We start from the raw sequence: 19,360 nt of genomic DNA, 5'->3' as shown, positions 1-19,360 counted from the left end.
GGTGCAGTGGCTCACGCCTATAATCCCAGCACTTTGGGAAGCTGAGGTGACTGGGTCACCTGAGGTCAGGAGTTCAAGACCAGCCTGGCCAGCATGGCAAAACCTCATCTCAACTAAAAACACAAAAATTAGCTGGGCATGGTGGCACATGCCTGTAATCCCAGCTACTTGGGAGGCTGAGGCAGGAGAATCACTTGAACCAGGGAGGCAGAGGTTGCAGGGGGCTGAGATCATACCGTTGCACTCCAGCCTGAGCAACAAGAGTGAAACTCTGTCTCGGAAAAAAAAAAAAAAAAAAAAGGAAAATCAAAATTATATCAAATACTCTTTCAGACAAAACTGGAATAAAATTGGGAATCAACTCTAAAAGGAAGCCTCAAAACCACGAAAATACATGGAAATTAAATAACCTGCTCCTGAATGATCATTGGGTCAACAATGAAATCAAGACGAAAATTAAAAAATTCTTTGAACTGAACAATAATAGTGATACAATCTATCAAAACCTCTGGGATACAGAAAAAACAGTGATAAGAGGAAAGTTCATAGCACTAAATGCCTACATCAAAAAGTCTGAAAGAGCACAAATAGACAATCTGAGGTCACACCTCATGGAACTGAAGAAACAAGAACTATCCAAACCCAAACCCAGGAGAAGAAAACAAATAACAAAGATCAGAGCAGAACTAAATGAAATGGAAACAAACAAACAAACAAAAAATACAAAAGATAAATGAAACAAAAAGCTGGTTCTTTGAAAAGATAAACAAAATTGATAGACCAATAGTGAGATTAACCAAGAAAAGAAGAGAGAAGATCCAAATAAGCTCAAATAGAAACAAAATGAGAGCTATTACAACTGATACCACAGAAATCCAAAAGATTATTCAAGGCTGCTATGAATACCTTTATGCACATAAACTAAAAAACCTAGAGGAGATGGATAAATTTCTGGAAATATACAACCCTCCTAAATTAAAACAAGAAGATGTACTAAGTAGAATCTCTGGACAGACCAATAACGAATAGTGAGATTGAAATAGTAATTTAAAAATTGCCAACGAATAAAAGTCCAGGACTAGACAGATTCACAGCTGAATTCTATCAGACATTCAAAGAACAATTTGTACCAATGCTATTGACACTATTCAAAGAGAGAAAGAGGGAATTCTCCCTCAATCATTCTATGAAGCCAGTATCACCCTAATACCAAAATGAGAGAAGGACATAACAAGAAAAGAAAACCACAGACCAATATCTTTGATGAACATAGATGCAAAAATCCTCCACAAAATACTAGCTAACTGAATCCAACAGCATAACAAAAAGATAATTCACCATTATCAAGTGGGTTTCATACCAGGGATGCAGGGATAGTTTAACATATGTAAGTCAATAAATGTGATATACCACATAAACAGAATTAAAAATAAGAATCACATAGTTTTCTCAATAGATGCAGAAAAAACATTTGACAAAATCCAGCATCACTTTATGATTAAAACCCTTGCAAAATCAGCATAGAAGAGACATACCTTAAGGTAATAAAAGCCATCTATGACAAACCCACAGCCAGCATTATACTAAATGGGGAAAAGTTGAAAGCATTCCCACTGAGAACTGGAACAAGACAAGGATGCCCACTTTCACCACTTCCATCCAACATAGTACTGGAAGTTTTAGCCAGAGCAATCAGACAAGAGAAAGAAATAAAGGGCATCCAAATCAGTAAAGAGGAAATCAAACTGTTGCTGTTTGTTGATGATATGACTGTATACATAGAAAACCCTAAATACTCATCCAAAAAGCTCCTAGAACTGGGAAATGAAGTCAGCAAAGTTTCAGGATACGAAATTAATACAAATCAGTAGCTCTGCTATACACCAACAGTGAGCAAGCTGAGAATGAAATCAAGAATGCAACCCCTTTTACCATAGCTGGAAAAAAATACTTAGGAATACATATAATCAAGGAGGTGAAAGATCTCTACAAGAAAAACTACAAAACACTCCTGAAAGAAATCATAGATGACACAAACAAATGGAAACACATCCGTTGCTCATGGATGGGTAGAGTCACTGTTGTGAAAATGACCATACTTCCAAAAGCAATCTATAAATTCGATGCAATTCCCATCAAAATACCATTATCATTGTTCACAGAGCTAGAAAAAAAATTCTAAAACTTTTATGGAACCAAAAAAGAGCTCACATAGCCAAAGCAAGACTAAGCAAAAAGAACAAATCTGGAGCCTCACATTACCCGACTTCAAACTATACTATAAGGCCATAGTTATAAAAACAGCATGGTACCAGTATAAAAATAGGCATATAGACCAATGGAACAGAATAGAAAACCCAGAAATAAAAGTCAAATTCTTACAGCCAACTGATCTTTGACAAAGCGAACAAAATAAAAAAATAAAATGGGGACAGGACACGCTATTCAACAAATGTTGCTGGGATAATTGGCAAGCCACATGTAGAAGAATGAAACTGGATCCTCATCTCTCACCCTATACAAAAATCAACTCAAAATGGTTCAAAGACTTAAATCTAAGACCTGAAGTCATAAAGATTCTAGAAAATAACATCATGAAAGCCTTTCTAGACATTGGCTTAGGCAAAGACTTCATGACCAAGAACCCAACAGCAAATGTTACAAAAACGAAGATAAATAGATGGGACTTAATTAAACTAAAAAACTTCTCCACAGCAAAAGAAATAATCAATAGAATAAACAGACAACCTACAGAGTGGGAGAAAATCTTCACATTCTATTCATCTGACAAGGGACTAATATCCAGAATCTACAAATAACTCAAATCAGCAAGGAAAAACCAATCCCATAAAAAAGTGGGCTAAGGACATGAATAGGCAATTCTCAGAAGAAGATATACAAATGGCCAACAAGCATATGGAAAAATGCTCAGCATCACTAATGATCAGGGAAATGCAAATCAAAACCACAATGCAATACCACTTTACTCCTGCAGGAATGGCCATAATCAAAAAATCAAAAAAATAATAGATGTTGGTGTGGATGTGGTGAAAAGGGAACACTTTTACACTGTTGATGGGAAAGTAAACTAGTACAATCACTATGGAAAACAGTGTGGAATTTCTTTAAGAACTAAAAGTAGATCTACCGTTTAATCCAGCAACCCCACTACTAGATATTTTCCCAGAGGAAAAGAAGTAATTATACAAAAAAGATACTTGTACATGCATGTTTACAACATCAAAATTTGCAATTGCAAAAATATGGAACCAGCCCAAATGTCCCATCAATCAATGTGCGGATAAAGAAAATGTGATGAGAATACTACTCATCCATAAAAAGAACAAAATAATCTGCAGCAACCTGGATGGAACTGGAGACTGTTATTCTAAGTGAAGTAACTGAGGAATGGAAACCAAACATCGTACGTTCTCATGCATATGTGGGAGCTAAGCCATGAGGACACAAAGGCATAAGAATGATACATTGTACTTTGGGGACTTAGGGGAAAGGGTGGGGGGGTGGCAAGGGATAAAAGACTACACATTGGGTACAGTATATACTACTCAGGTGATGGGTGCATCAAAATATCAGAAATCACCACTAAAGAACTTATTCATGTAACCAAACACAACCTGTTCCCCAAAAACCTATTGAAATAAAAAAATTAAAAATTAAAAAAAGCAGCAAAAGAGTGAATGGAGGTGAATATGCAAGGAGAGAGACAAATAGACTTTCAGGTAATTTGGTGCTATATAAATGTTATGTTTTCATAGTATGGGTTCGTTCCTACAAATCTCTTTATTATGGCAATACGACTATTACCAGAGGCATATTTTCTCACTATATAATTGGTTATGTACTACTCTACTAACGCTCTAGGACTTTGAATACATCTTATCACCATTATTATCCATTATCCTGAGAGAAGCTCTAGTTTCTTCACAAGAGATAACCAGTTTCTCCAACAGTTATATATGCAAGACTATTTTGTCTTTTATCACAATTATTTTATCTTTTCCTCTATTTCTTTTCTTTTTACACTTTTCAGTGTAGTTCACGTATCTTAAGTATTCATTTGGTGGAGATACATATGTGTGTGTGTCGGGGGTACACATACTACTGATCAAGATATGCAAGATATAGAACATTTCAGCCCTCTGGGAGGCTCCCTTGTGCCTCTTCCAAATCAATACCTCTATTCTATTTTATCCTGCTTCTTTTGCTAAACCTAGTATTTCTGAAATTAATTAATGTCATAATGTGTAGCTTGTTCTTTATATTGCTGTTATTTCTTTACAATCTGCTACAAAATATTGCTACTTATTTTTCTGTGTTATTGTTAGTGGTTAGTTATTTTTATATTTTTGGTTATTATAAATAAATCACCTATGAACATTCTATTATATGACTTTTGGTGGTTATATATGTTTATTTCTCTTGCATATATAACTAGGAATGGAATTTATGGATCATAAGGTGCGCATATGTTTAGTTTTAGTAGATACTACCGCAGTGTTCTCCAAAGTGATTGTACTAATTTAAACTCTTACTAACAATAAGGAGAGTTCCAGTTGTTTCACATCCTCAGCAACACTTTTAATTATTAGACTTTTTTGCTTCAAAGAATGCACATAGGAAAATAGGATTAATCCATAGAAAAAAATAGCTAAAATACAAAGTGCTATGTGATGAGTGTATGATGGGACAAAAATTAAGGAACTGCAGATATTCCCAGACTTTATCCCTTGTCCAGAACTCTGAGGATAATCTTGCAATTGCTGACCCAGTATTCCCCTTCTTACTATATTTACATATTTAATGAAGATATAATTTTCATAAATAAAGTGCACAGATCTCAAATGATAGTTGGATGAGTTTTGGCAATTAGGTACATCTGTGCAACTTCTTCTCAAAACAAGTGACATAATATATTCTTCACCATCCAAAGTTATCTCATATCCCTTTCCAATCAATCTCCTCCCTTAAAACTTGCCAACAGAGGCAATCACTTTTTAATTTCTGTTACCAGCCATTTGCACTTTCCCAAACTTCTGCAGATGTCCCATGGGGAAAATCAGTTGTATGTTTGGGGCTTGACTAGGATTCCAATCCTTCAACATTGTCAGCATGACTATCAAAACTCTGAGGGGTTTTTTCCCCCCTTTGGTAAAGTACCTCTACCTTGGCTAGCTCCCATGATTGGCAAATGCTGCTAAGGTAGAAAATGACCAGCATTTGCCCACTTTCTGTAAAAAGGACATTTTCTTCTTTGGAAATTTAGGCAATTTAGCCATTTTTGCTTCTATAGTTGTCTGATGCCTCTAAAAATATTATCTTTAAATCTTTGTCAATTTTTCCCTTAATCATTGCAGCAGAAATGTTGAGCTATTACATTCTACTGCCTCCTACTTGAAAGTGGACACTTATTTTCTTTTTAAAAACTATTTTAAAAGAATTTATCAACAAGTACTTATTGGTCACTTGTTTTATTCTTAACACCATGCTGTGAGAGTTAGAAAAAGAATCTAAGCTGACGATCCTTAACCAAGGTAGCTGACATCCATTTAAGAAGAAAAAACGTAGCCAAGTGAAACTGTAAGAAAGCATAACAGCAACGTCAAATATAACAGGAAAGTCTGTAACTTTGGTTAAGTCATTTTGTCTTCCAGGTCTCCTTTTCCACAATTGTAAGCAAGAGATCTGATTCCGATTTGTGATTATCAAACATTTATGTTGAACACACTGAGCCAGATCATGGGGCTGGCCACTAAGTAGCTGCTCATGATATCAATCTGAATGAGGTGTAAAAACAGCAATGGAAATATAATAAGATGGAGAGAACACAATTTATCAGAACCTCACTCAGGAAGGGTACTGCCTGTGATCTTAGAGTAAGCCGTTTGGGATATTGGGTGAGATTTCCAAGGAGAATGCTTAAGAAAGAACAGATGGAGGATAAACTCTTCTACGGAGGGGGAAGCTGGTTTACCACAGAGTTTTTATTCTGTAAAACGGCAAGTTTGGGTTCCATCCAAGATGCCTGGCATAATAGAGGGGAGGCTGAGGCTCTAACAGCCCTATTTTTCTGTCCCCTCATGCAGCTTTCAGTATTTCTACATGAATGATGAGCATATAGTTTAAAAGTATAGTCTAAATGAGACCACATTCATATTAGCTCTGCATGCGCAGCCTAGTTCTCTAGTAAATAACTCCTTTATAAGTGAGGTTGTACATAGAACCCCAGTACAAAAACACGAAACAGAAATCACCTGGTTAAATTATACACAAGGGTGTGGGGCTTTGTCTGCTCAGCTTCCCTTAAAACCTGCTGATAAAATTTTACCAAATCTTAGGTCTTAGTGGAATACTCTTTGAAAACTACTGAGATGATTTCCACCTTTTTTTTTAACCACTGATGTTCTCTGATTCTGTGATAAGGTATAGACATCTGGAGAATCAGACTGTAATACTTTACTTCTTAGATTCTAATCTGTCATTCATGAATATTAATGCTATTAATTATTTGATGTAATATCGGATATTTTGAGAAAAATAAAACATGTACATGTTAAATGTATAATTATCCCTTACATTTTATTTTCTCTCTCTTTTTTTTATATTCTGAAAGCTTTCCTGAACTTCTTGTGGCCCTTCTATTAAATAATGTTTTTATTTCTATGAACTCTTTCCTTTTCTTTTACTATGTATTTTTTTAGTCACCTGTTCTTGTTTTCTGGATGCCCACTCTTCTTACAGCTCTTGGACGCTATTAATTAGAATTCTCTTGATGTTTGTTTCTCTTTTCTAGGGTACCCAATGTTTGCTTCTCAGTTCTTTCTTCCATCCTATTCCTTCTTCTCTGAACAGCTGGCTCTCTGCAAGTTTTCCAGGAGCCTTGATTGTAATTCATATTTAAGCACGAAAGACTGTTGATTAGTAAAGGCAGATGACGTGGTTTCCTCTGTTGCTTCAGGTGCCCCTCCACAGGGAGACAGCAGTTTGAATTCGGGGTGTGCTGACTGCCAGGCTTCACCTCAGTCAAGCTGCCCTGTCTCTCCCTTTGCTGGGCCACAACGAAGAGAGCCAGCTTTGAGGGACCAACTTTCATGTAGGTGCAAATTATTCCCAAGCAGGTTGCTTAATTCCTTTGGGAGCATCTCCCAGGCCTTCATGGGGGAAGACACTGCTGTGGCACGGGGCAGAGAGAGTGGAGAAGGGATTATCTCCTGACCCAGCAGAATTCCACAGGTGGCTCTTTACTCATCATCTCAATTTCTGCCCCTTCTCCCATGCTCTCTACATTGCTTATTCCAAAATATTATACGGGAAAAACTTATGTGGTGGTCTTCCTCCTGAGCTGGAGCCTCCTCCTGCATCCAGTGTTAGTAGGCAGTATAAGCCTGTTGTTCAAGATTTTCTAAATGGCTGTAACTCCCATTCTTGGTGCTTTTTTATGGCTTTATATCCTTGTGCACTTTACTGTGATAGCATACTAAAGATGGGGCAGCTGGAAAGCTCTGGGTGCAAGCAACAGGAGATGTATTGCTGGTAGAGAATTTAAACACAATAATAAAACCAACTGAAAGGAAGTCTGGTTTTTATAATCACCAAGGTCAGTGATAACTGGCCTCCTCCAATCCCCCGACCAAAAAACCCACTTTCTTTGATCTAAGTTCTAAATAATTGCTTTGGTTACTGTAGAGTTTTAATAATATATATGTGTATCAGAAAAAAACCACAGTTTTTACTGCCTGCTTATTCTTTAACAACACTGAATTCTACAGTGAAGCTAATTTGGAAATTTCCCAGTTACACGGTTGACCCCAACACAAATAAGCGTAATTTTTACTGCTTGTTCTGTAACAAACATTGGATTCTACAGAGAGGCTAACTTGGAAATCTTCCAGTTACATAATTGACTTCAACACAAAGGGATTCAGCTACCTATGTTTGTCTCAAGAGTAAGTTCTTAAAGATTTGGAAGCATTCAAGCTCACTTTCGGAAGCATTTGTATCTCCAATCCCTATGGTGCTACCTATGCTTGCGTTGAAAAGAGTAGATTTGAAATGAACAATGACAGTGCAGTGATGATAAAGAAGAAACAGAACTTGAATTACTTCCATTATCTCATTTTATCTGATAATTTTGAGTTTTATTTGTGTTTAAATTGAAAACAATGATCAACAGACCAAATAGCTGTAATATTTTTGTGGTAAGTACTAATTTTAGTTCATACATGATTTATTTCACTAAGTATTTTTAAATGAAAATTTTTGTATACAAAGTAAACCTTTGTTTCAAACTGTGAAACAAATTAATGAAATAACGATTAGTACTGAAAGCAATTTTGTCATAAAAAGGGAGTATTAAAAGATGATGCATCTGGGTGTCAAATAACTGCATGCCGCTGCTTTTTGTCATTTAGGTGGGTTGGGGGAAGGAAGGAAGTCAACGCATGTGTTCAGTCTGCCATTTTGAACGAGTAGTGCAGGTACCATAAGAAATTAGAGAACTCAAGAGGTTAAATAACTTGTTTAAAGCAAGGTTTAAGTCAGTAGTGGAGTTCATGTCCCACTCTCATTACTTTTAGTCAAACTAGTCATTGCACTTTGTGTGATTAGTCAGCCTGTGAAGGATATCCATACACGTTCAGCTTTCCCAGTCCGTTTGTGCTGAGCACAAGTCCCATTCCTCATTAGGACTTCTCCTAAGGCTGTTTCAGCTCAGACTCCTCTCAAGCCTCACATACCTTATACTTCATCTAGTGCTTTTCATATTACACCTGTGTTTTGCTTCCACCTGGGCTGTAATCTCTTTAAGAGTAGGAACCATATTTAATGGATTGCTCTATCTCTTTGCAGCACAGAGCCTACTTCCTGTAGGTTTCCAGGAATAGTTGCTGATAGAGATGGTTATGGTAAGGTTGGAAAGAAAGGCTAACCCTCAATGGTGACTTACTTTGAACATGGATTTTTACAAAAGGTCAATTCATTTGGAAACAAGTCTGAAAAATGAACTCTGAACTCTCGGTGTTTTTACTTTTTAGTCAAAAGTAAAGCATGATTACAAAGCAATGAGATTTCCTGATAGCTTCATTTACACAGTGGTTCCAGAGGAATTTCCAGAAGTATGATCCAGACGCATTCTGTGCTATGGCAAAGTCATTCACATGTGCATCTAGCCTCCTTCAGAAGGCTGACTCTGAAAGATAACACTTATTGGATCTGCTGGTTTAGTTACCTAAATATCCTGAGGTGATACTATTTTCCTAAAGCACTAAGTCATATTAAAGGCATTGGTTCAATGTGAAACATTATCAGAGATTAAAAGAAAACTGGATTTGACAAGAGAGTAACAGTTTGCTCCTTCTCTCCTTAGGAGAAAGTTCTGAATTTGTTCTCTTCACAGCCAGGGCATTGTTGTAATCAGACACCTTCTGTTAAACGTTACTCAATTTCAATTCTAGAGAGAAATAAAAAAGGGTAAGAGAGCTGTGGCCGAGAGCACGGTACCTTATATCATCAAGATCTGTGTTGTTTTTTTTTTAATCCAGAAAGACAATTTAACAGATTGAGGAAGTTGTGGGAGAAGAGATAGCTATATAAATACAGTCCCAAACAAAAGACCTTTCATTGAGAAAGATAAGACTGTGTTTGGACAGAATCAAAGTTTACCAAGTCATGATTGAATGGAGAGGATAAGTTGAGGCTTGTTTAACAAATGCAAATATTGAATATTCAAGAATGGCAAGTTTAGAATAAATGTAAGGTGTGTATTATTTCAGCAGAGGGAGGTAAATACACTTCTGGAACTCATTTAGCCTCAAAGGTGGTACTGGCTAAAATACAAGTAGATTGCAAAGTGCTTACAATCCATTCGGAGATGATAGGTATAGCATGGATTATTAAGGGAAGCCAGAGTGATCGAACCTTTCCCTGACCTCTGAGGCTGATACTGAATGTGACATGCTGGCCCTCCAGGACTCACTCTTGGGGTCATCATCAGAGACAGTCAGTTGGACTGCAGAATCAAGGGACTGGCCCAGGGGCACAATTCTGATGTTCTCATGTTTCATCTCACTGAGCTAAATATTAACTTTCGGCCTGTGTGTCTGTCACCAAGTCATCTGTCTTGGTAAATGCTGTTGGAGTCTCAGCATTGTGAGAAGGCAATGAATTTTCCCTGCTGACAGTGAGAATATCCACACCAAGCTGCCATAGAGATTTCTGCTTCCCACAATGTTTATGACAGTAAATTAGGCTACAGAGTGCACTGAAGGTTGTTTACATAACCCCGATAGCTGGTATATTTGTCAGTCCCACTCCGTGGGCTGTGACTTCAGTAGAGCCAGATAATGTTTAAAATATAAGGCTATAGTAATGTATGAAATTATCAGAGTGCTTTACAAGAACTCTGATTATAAACACTTGTTTATTTGGACCTTTTGCTTGGATCTCATATATTTTCTTTCCCCCTCTTTTTTCTTTTTTTTTTTTTTTTTGGATTGGATCTGTGTCCCCACCCACATCTCATGTTCAATTGTAATCTCCAATGTTGGAGATGGGATCTGGTAGAAGGTGATTAGATCATGAGGGTGGATCCTTCATGAATGATTTAGCACCATCCTTTCCATCCTTTTGGTGCTGTTCTTGTGATAGAGTTCTTACTAGATCTGGCTGTTTAAAAGTGTGTGGCACCTCCCACCCTCTCTTTTCCTCCTGCTCTGGCCATGTAAGACGTGCCTGCTTCCCTTTCGCCTTCCACCATGACTGAAAGTTTCCTGAGGCCTCCCCAGAAGCTGAGCAGAAGCCACTATGCTTCCTGTACAGCCTGCAGAATGCTGAACCAATCAAACCTCTTTTCTTTATAAGTTACGCAGTCTCAAGTATTTCTTTATAGCAGTGTGAGAATGGACTAATACAGTTCTAGTATTATCTTTCCATTTTTCTCTGGTTTCATTGTTAGTTTCAATTCTGTACCCAAACAGAGTAGCTTGGGCTTTTTCTTTTAAACTTGTTATATGTTCTAGCCCTGTCTCTCTACAGAGCCATTTTCCGGAAAGTCAGTGACACAAATTGGCCACATATGCAGATAATTTTCAACTCTCTAGATCTCACCCTAACTCTTTGCCTTGTGTCCAGACTTTCGGTTCAGCTTTATGCTTCCACTTACCTTGTTCAGTCTTTAGCAGAAAATCTCGTTTTATAAGACTTGATTGCAAAATAGAGACTGTTGCATAAAGCAATCACCACTGAGTGTCATTCCAATCAAAATAGAAGCTTTCAGGAAATATTCACTTTTGGAACTTGTGTGTGTAGCCCTCATTTGCAGTAAATTTTGTCCTTTGATATTGGAATCCGATTTTTCAAAAGAGCTAAAGTTATCTGGTTTCAAAAAAAAATTTGATGGTAAAGTAGCCCTAACAGATTGCACTTCATAAAATTTTTATTTTCATCAAGCTAAAAATCTGTTTTCTTATATATTTAATTCATTTTATATAATTTCATGGCCACTTTTTTCCCAGAACTACAAGAAGAGTTTCTGATACAGAAGTAAATTATACAAAGAAAACGTTTTAAAATAACTGTTTGGCCTGGAGGGAAATTTTGATTTCTTGGCTCCAACAATCCTTTATATCCACTTTAATGGCTTTCAGCAGGCAAAGACTAATTAGTAGATTATGAATTTTAAATGTAGTGGTCACTACCTGCAATGTTTTGTTTATTGTGTTTTGTTTTTTGATGGTGCAGAATAAATAGAAGGGAATAGAATAATATAGAATAGAATAGGATTCCAGTTCTGCTTAGGATATAGAAAGTCACAAGAAAACTCTGTTCCTATCCTACCAATAAGAAAAACTAAATAGTAAAAAACAACAAAAATAATTTTCTTGAATCCACAATAGAGGTCACTGGGTAACAAGGTGAACTGAATTATTCAAAGTGCACCAAAGGTAACTATAGTAATAAAAAACCCAAATCCAGATCACTTAGATTAAATCAACTCCCCATAATGCCTGATAGAAAAAGAACTACATCCATTTCTGTGTTCAAATATTTTAAAACTCAGTCAGTATTGTTCTAAGCATAATGTTTGGCTTTTGATTACAAAAATTATAAAACCCCTAAAAACTAACCCATTGTGAAGAGACAAATCAGTAGAGATGATATAGATGCTGGAACACTGACCTTTAAAAATACTTATGATTGATATTTATTAATGATATTAACCACTGGAGAAGGTAGACAACATGCAAGAATAGAGTTAGAATTTCAGTAACGAGATAAAAACTACATACATAAAAGATACGATAAGCAGGTTGGTCACAGCTGAAGAAGAATGAGTGAATTAGAAGTTAGAACAATAGAAGTTATCTAAGCTTAAACACAAGAGAAAAAAACAGGTGGTGGTAGAGAGGACAAAGCATCTGAGAGGTAAGAATTGTGGGGCAACATCAAAAGTCTAACATATGTGTAGCTGGAGTCCCAGATAGAGAAAAAACCGGAGAGCAGAAAAAAATATTTGAAGAGATCATGGGCAAGCCTTTTCCAAAATTGATGAAATGCAATAAACCAAAGATCCAAACACTTTATAATGTGTATGCACTTAATAGCAAACACCTACAGGACTGAAGCAAGAAGTCCACAATTATAGATGGAAATTTCAATACTTCTCACACGGGAATTGATAGAACAAATACACAAAAAATTGTAAGAATATAGGAGACATGAACTGCACTATCAACCAACTTCAGCAAATTGACATGTATAGAACACTTCACCCATCAGTAATAGAATACATATTCTTTTCAAGTACACATGGAACATTCATTAAGAAGCACTATCTTCTGGGCCATCAAACAAAGCTCAACAAATTTTAAAGAACTGAAATTATATGTATTAGGCCATTCTTGCATTGCTGTGAAGAAATACTTGAGATTGGGTAATTTATAAAGAAAAGAGGTTTAATTGGCTCATGGCTCTGCAGGCTGTAAAGGAAGCATAATGCTGGCATCTGCTTCTGGGGAGGCCTTGGGAAGCTTACAATCATGGCAGAAGATGAAGCAGGTGTCTCACATGGTGGGCGCAGGAGCAAGTGCAAAGGGGAAGGTGCTACACACTTATAAAGGGCCAGATCTAATAAGAACTCACTCACTGTCTCAAGGACAGCACAAGAGGATGGTGCTAAACCATTCATGACAAATGCACCCCCATAATACAATCACCTTCCACCAAGCCCCACCTTCAATACTGGGAATTACATTTCAATATGAGATTTTGGCGGGGACACATCTGAAGTATATAATTACGTAAAGTACTTTTTTCTGCAGAAGGGATTTAAACTAGAATCAATAACAGAAAGCTATTAAAAAGAAGCCAGGCACACTGGTGCATGCCTGTAATCTCAGCTACTTAGGAGGCTGAGGTCGGAGGCTTGCTTGAGCCCAGGAGTTCAAGGTCAGATAGCAAGACCTGATTTCAAAGGTATTGCAATAATTTCTTTAACATTCTGCAATCATTAATGATCAGCCTTATTATCATCATATATAATAGATGATAAAAATAACACTTGTGTGGCAAAGAGAAAATTGCTCATACAGTTGCTGACAATCATTTCTCTTATATATTGATGCTGTGTGTACAATCTTTGATAAATTACCTGGTAAATAAAAAACTATTTCTCAGTGTTATCATTTACCTTATATAATTCTATTGTTAAAGAACATTTCAAAGCAATGTTTATTACATCATGATACTTAAGTATAGATTCCACAATCCAATCTGATTAATGTCCTGATATTTGCAACACTTTTAATTTAGGTGGGATAAATGTGGCAAAATAATTTCATAAAAGAGTTGTGTAGTTGTGTAAGTTTAACCTAAATTACAATTCATTTAACCTTGATTTTAATTTCCTCCTAGAATTAGGAAGAAAAAATGGTGGTCAACATATATTAAGGCAAAAATATATTGGAAAGCATATAGAAATTACTATAATGCTTAGTCTATTAATAATGGTACAATTTCAAAGGACTACAAATATATATAATAAATATTGAGAATTCTTCAAAATTCTGTGATTGTCATGAATATATTTAAAAATACATGAAATAATTTTTAATTTAATGATTTTAGTTTCTTTAAAATTTAATCTTAAAGGAATTTTACCAAATAACTAGATTGTGGAAATATTTTGTTCAGAGATTGTTGTAAACTGTTTCTATTTACTACACAATTCTAAAGTTCTTTGGTTTTTGGAAGAGAAAGTATTAAACAGGGCATAGAAACTCACAAATGAGATTCACATTTTCAGTTGTAAAGAAATCTCACTTGGAAAATATTTTTAAAGATGTTATATGGGTAATAAAATTGGCTACTTAACTGATATTTTAAGCAATCTTAACAAATATAATTTAAAACTACAGGGAAAACCAATGCTATATTTCAACAAGTTAAGAGGTTCCAAAAAATGTTGTTATGGCAAGCAAGACTCAAAAATAGTCACCCTAGTTGCTATGTTTTCCCAACATTGCTATAACATATTGAAAAGAATGCTATTAATGAAGCCAGTTTGAATAAAATAAATTCAGAGATATTGTTACATTTCACTTCTTTGTTTCAAACTTTCAATCACTACTTTCCAGAAGGGAAATTTGAAACATTGAAGAAGAAAGTTTTCTATGCAAACCTTGAATTAATTATTTATTTAAACTTGATCCACGAAAAATAAAATAAATCATTATATCTAAGCTCTTCCTTACACCAAAGAATATTTATACAATAGAGTTTACCATTGTTTTGGATTAAGATTATACGAAAATTTCTATTGCTAAGTAGAAAAAGTGTATATCTATAATTGCCATTCACAATGAATTGCCACTCACAAAGTTTATATCATCTTGTATAAACTAAGATTTTCAACACTGAATTGATAAAAAAAGAAAGAAAATAATAGCCTCAAAACTGTACCAGGGGTCATCTGCTTCTGGTTAAGGTGAAATAACAGACTAGATTTACCATTCCACTTGAAACAACTAAAAAATAAAAATTACATAAATAGATGAAATAATGATTTTTAAGAAATTGGAAATCAGATAATGAAGGGCAATAATCTCTGAGATATAATAAACAAATGATGTGAGCCTTATAAGTAGCCACAGTGCAGGGAGAGGCGACCCAGGCAGTACCCATTGGTCTCCCTGAGTTGAAGAGACAGAGCTGAGATGCCAAGGCTGCTAGAGTTCACAGAGTAGAATACCAAAGAAGGGAGAACCTGATGAAGAGATAATGCAGAGATTTGCAGAGGGTCCTTCTTGAATATGCAGCAGAGTACTGAGTCTGTTCCCCCTCAGCAAAACTGGAAAAACCTCTTAACTCACAGGGGATTGACTAGAACTCTCAAAAAATTCTTGTCTCAGTTGTGGGAATTAATAGCCTGAAGCTAGATCCAGCTCTCGTCCCACCTAATGAGTCTCAAAAGCAAGGTCTGAAAGAATCATGAGGCCGACAAATAAACTAATTTTGTTTCAGAACAATAATCAAGAATGTTTATAGAAATATGATAATATCCATCACCTAACGAAGCAAAATGCACTGTGTGGCATCTAATGAAAATGTACCAGGCATGCAACAACAACAACAACAAACTAGGAAAATAGAACTCATAACGAGGAGAAACATAAATCAATTGAAATGGACCCAGACTGACACAGACCTTAGAATTACCAGCAAAAGACATAAAATAAATTATTATAACTGCATCTATACTCAATAGGCATGCAAATTATAAAATGAAGATCCAAATCAGCCTTTCAGAAGTTAAAATTATAATGGCTATGGCAAAAATACACTGTATTAAGCTAACTGCAGATTAGATGTTACAGAAGACTAGATAGTGAACATGAAGACATAACAACAGAAATGATCCAAAATTAAATAGAAAAAAAAGGCTAAAAGTAAAATGAAGTATCAGTGAGTTGTAGGAAAACTCCAAAGAAGTGAGCATCTGTGTAATTGGAGCTATGAAGTAGAAAGGAGACAGAAGTATTTGAAGCAATCATGGCTGAATACTTCCCAAATGTAATAGAAACTCTAAAGCCATTTATTTAAGATTTCAATAAACCCCAAGCTTGAGAAATATTATAATAGCATAGTTCAAAAGCAGTGATTAAGAAAAAAAATCTTAAAAGCAGCCAGAAGACACATAGGAAGAAAGACTAGACAGATTTTTTATCAGAAACTTGTCTTCATCAGCTAGAAGACAGTGGAACAACATAAAGACAAACCAAAACAAAACCCCAAACTACCTGTTAACCTAGACTTATATATCTAGTAAAAATATCTTTAAAAAATAACCCCCCCAAAAAAAGACTTTTTCAAATATGCAAAACCTGAAACACTTAATCACAGTGGACCTGCACTACAAGACACATTTGACAAAATTCTTCAGACCTAAGATAAATGGTACTAGATAGAAAGGGAAGTCTACACAAAAGAATGAATAGCCCATAAAATGGTAACCACATAAGATTTTTTCCTATTATCTAAATCTCTTTAAATAATTCTTGACTGCTTAAAAATAATAACAACATAGTGTGATGTTTATAATAGGTATAAAAGTAAAATGTATGACAATAGCACAAAGGCCAAGAAGGAAGAAATGGAAGTAAACTATTATAAAGTCCTCTTACTATACATGAAATGGTATAATATCTCTTGAAGGTAGAGTGTAATAAGTTAATATGTATGCTTTGAACCCTCAAGCAACCACTGAAATGAAAAAGACAAAAAAGTTATAGCTAATAAGCTAACGAAGGAAATATAATTGAATAATTTACAAAATTCAAAAACTAGAAACAACCAAATGTCCATAACTAGGTTAATGGATAAGCAAATTGTGTTATATCTATTAATGGAATAATTCTCAGCAATAAAGAAGGAATCACTGAAACATAAGACAACATAGATGAATCAGAAAATAATTCCACTGAGTAGCTAAATATTGAGAATACATTGAAATATCCATTTATTAAGAGGTTTGGGTCCTGTTACTCTTCTTTCAACGTCCTTCACACTATATATAGGGAAACACAAGCCAGGATGCAAACATCCCAGGGTTGTAAAACAATCTTTGATAATGGTCTTTTGGGGAGTGGTGAGGTTCTGCGTTTTGTGTTCTAATCTTACATTTGCCATTAACTAGTTTTGGGGCAATGGGAAAGTCATTTTCCTTATTGGCTTTGCTTCTGCATTTGTATTAATAACATAAGGGGATTATAAGAGGTTTAAGGCCCCATCAGCTATGAGTCACTAAACCACAACAGGTCTTGTAAATCCAGACACAGAACTGAACTATAGAACGGTTGGGACCCCAAATCAGGTGTTTTCATGTCACACACTTCACTTGATTTTTTCGTGTAGTTGATTGCACACTTATTTTGTTTCTCTTACCAGCCAAGTGTTTCTGAGAGTCAGGGCAGCTCTGCTCTTCCCTTCCTCACCCAGCTCTGTGCTTCGATGATGATCCGGTCTAAGGTAACATTGGCTGACTTGACTAACTCATGAAAAATAGGGGTAATAGAAGCACTGAGTGTCTCCTCTGCAATTGTGCTGCAGTGTTGTGCAGTTTGAGATGACTAGAATAGGAATCAGGAGACTTGGGCTTTAGTCTGAGTTACCTAGTCTCAGTTTCCTCATCCATAAAATAACTCCTGGTGTATTCATTGCAGTGAGTGGTTGTTAGAATCAGATAGGATGATGGATGTGAAGGCATTTTGTAAAATGTAAATCATTCTGCAGAATTAAGGGAAGACTATTATTTCTAAATGTGAATTTGCAAAGAAACACCAGCTGAAGTAGCTAAGACTTTAACATGGGGCTGCTCTTGAGCTAACTCAAAGTGGGTGCCAGAGGCGACTTTGGCTTTGCTTTTTATGTAACCAAAGGGAATGATTCATTAGCTGCTGTTACGAGGCCTATATATGTAGCACCACCTGGGTGTGTGGTCAACAGTGCCAAAGTTATTTGGTCACCGGAATTTGTGGGAAATACCTGGAGGACATCACTTGTACTTGGTGGGTGGTGATAGAAAACTTCCTTCTGAAGGACGAGATTAGGTCTGATGCTGATATCTTTTAGAAACCCCGTTGAAAGTGAATGAGTGAAAGTTAGAGCATGCCTTCCCCAGGTCCTGGAGAAGAATGTCTTACAGCCTGCAATACAGGCAGAGTTGGGTCCATTCTACTCCCAAGGTGCCCCATTCAGGTCTGGATTTGCAACATTATGCTGTGATTGTCTTCTGCTTTTGCTCTACCCAATTAACCATAAATTCTTTAACATCAGGGACTGAGTTTTAGGCATTTAATTTTCAGCCTTTGAGACCTATGAGTGTTGAGTAGGTGCTCAAAAAACCTTTGGTGACCCCAAACGAAAACCAATGGATAAGATATAAGACTAGGTTCTTCATCTTGCAAAGCTTGTGTTCTGATGGCAAAGGCAGATATATGACCAGATATTTATTGAGTGATGTGCTATGTGTGAGAACAGAAGCTTCAGAGAAGACTTTTTGGCAATAGGAGATGATACTTGAGTGGCATTTTAAAGGATGAGAAGGCTGAGCCAGGGGAAGAACGGAAGGAAACATGGTTCAGGAGGTTCCTGTAATATCACACTCTTAATGTGCTTAAATATTGCAAGATATTTTTGCATCAATTTTCTTAATTTTCACAGTAATTTACATGTGAGTAGGATAATCCTTAGTGCCACATTCATAGATCAGGAAACCAAAATCCAGATAGGTTAAAGGACTTGAATAGGTCACACGGCATGTTGGGGGAGTGTGTAAATTAGAATTCTCTTAACTTTTACTTCTCTGTCATTCATCCCAGAACACATGGCTTTATGTATTAGTTCATGGACTTTCACTCTCCATTAGAGCTACTCTTTTGAGTTTATTGGAAGCAGTTTCCAGAGATAATTATAAACTGGGCAAAAAATAAACTGCTTATCAGAGTTTGGAATGGGGAGATTTATTTGGTAGCTTATACTTTACTTACAAACAAAAGAAATTCATTGCTTACAATGTAGAGCCCAAGCACAGTAAAGACAAAAGAGTCCAGTTCAAAGTGACATTAACAAGCCCAGGGCATAAGGCGAGAAGAGCTGATTTTGCCAGTTGTTGCCAAATATTTGAAACTTAAAAAAAAATTCTTTTGAATTTGAAAAAACTCAAACCTTCTTTTGCAGGACTCTTCTCCTCTATTTCCTTCATTTCTAAATTTAAGAACACTTAAAGGAAAATCAAATCCATGGGATTAGCATACATTTAAATGATACAACAGCATTGTATAAGAGCTAA

At 35.9% G+C, this 19,360-nt stretch overlaps 1 long non-coding RNA gene across 2 annotated transcripts in view; it reads right to left on the bottom strand.

The window, feature by feature from the left end:
* The window catches only part of LINC01808 (long intergenic non-protein coding RNA 1808), a 52,275-nt gene that overhangs the window by 6,378 nt on the left and 26,537 nt on the right, over positions 1-19,360 (bottom strand). Inside the window, exon 6 of one of the 2 annotated variants that reach the window (NR_183420.1) lies at positions 9,034-9,466. The exons of the other annotated variant lie outside the window; for it this stretch is intronic. This is a non-coding gene — a long non-coding RNA (long intergenic non-protein coding RNA 1808). Of the gene's footprint in view, positions 1-9,033; positions 9,467-19,360 lie in introns of those variants that run through there. 2 annotated transcript variants of the gene reach the window in all.

Source organism: Homo sapiens, chromosome 2, assembly GCF_000001405.40.
Source record: "Homo sapiens chromosome 2, GRCh38.p14 Primary Assembly".
Taxonomy (NCBI): domain Eukaryota; kingdom Metazoa; phylum Chordata; class Mammalia; order Primates; family Hominidae; genus Homo; species Homo sapiens.
This window is presented reverse-complemented; position numbering and strand designations above follow the sequence as displayed.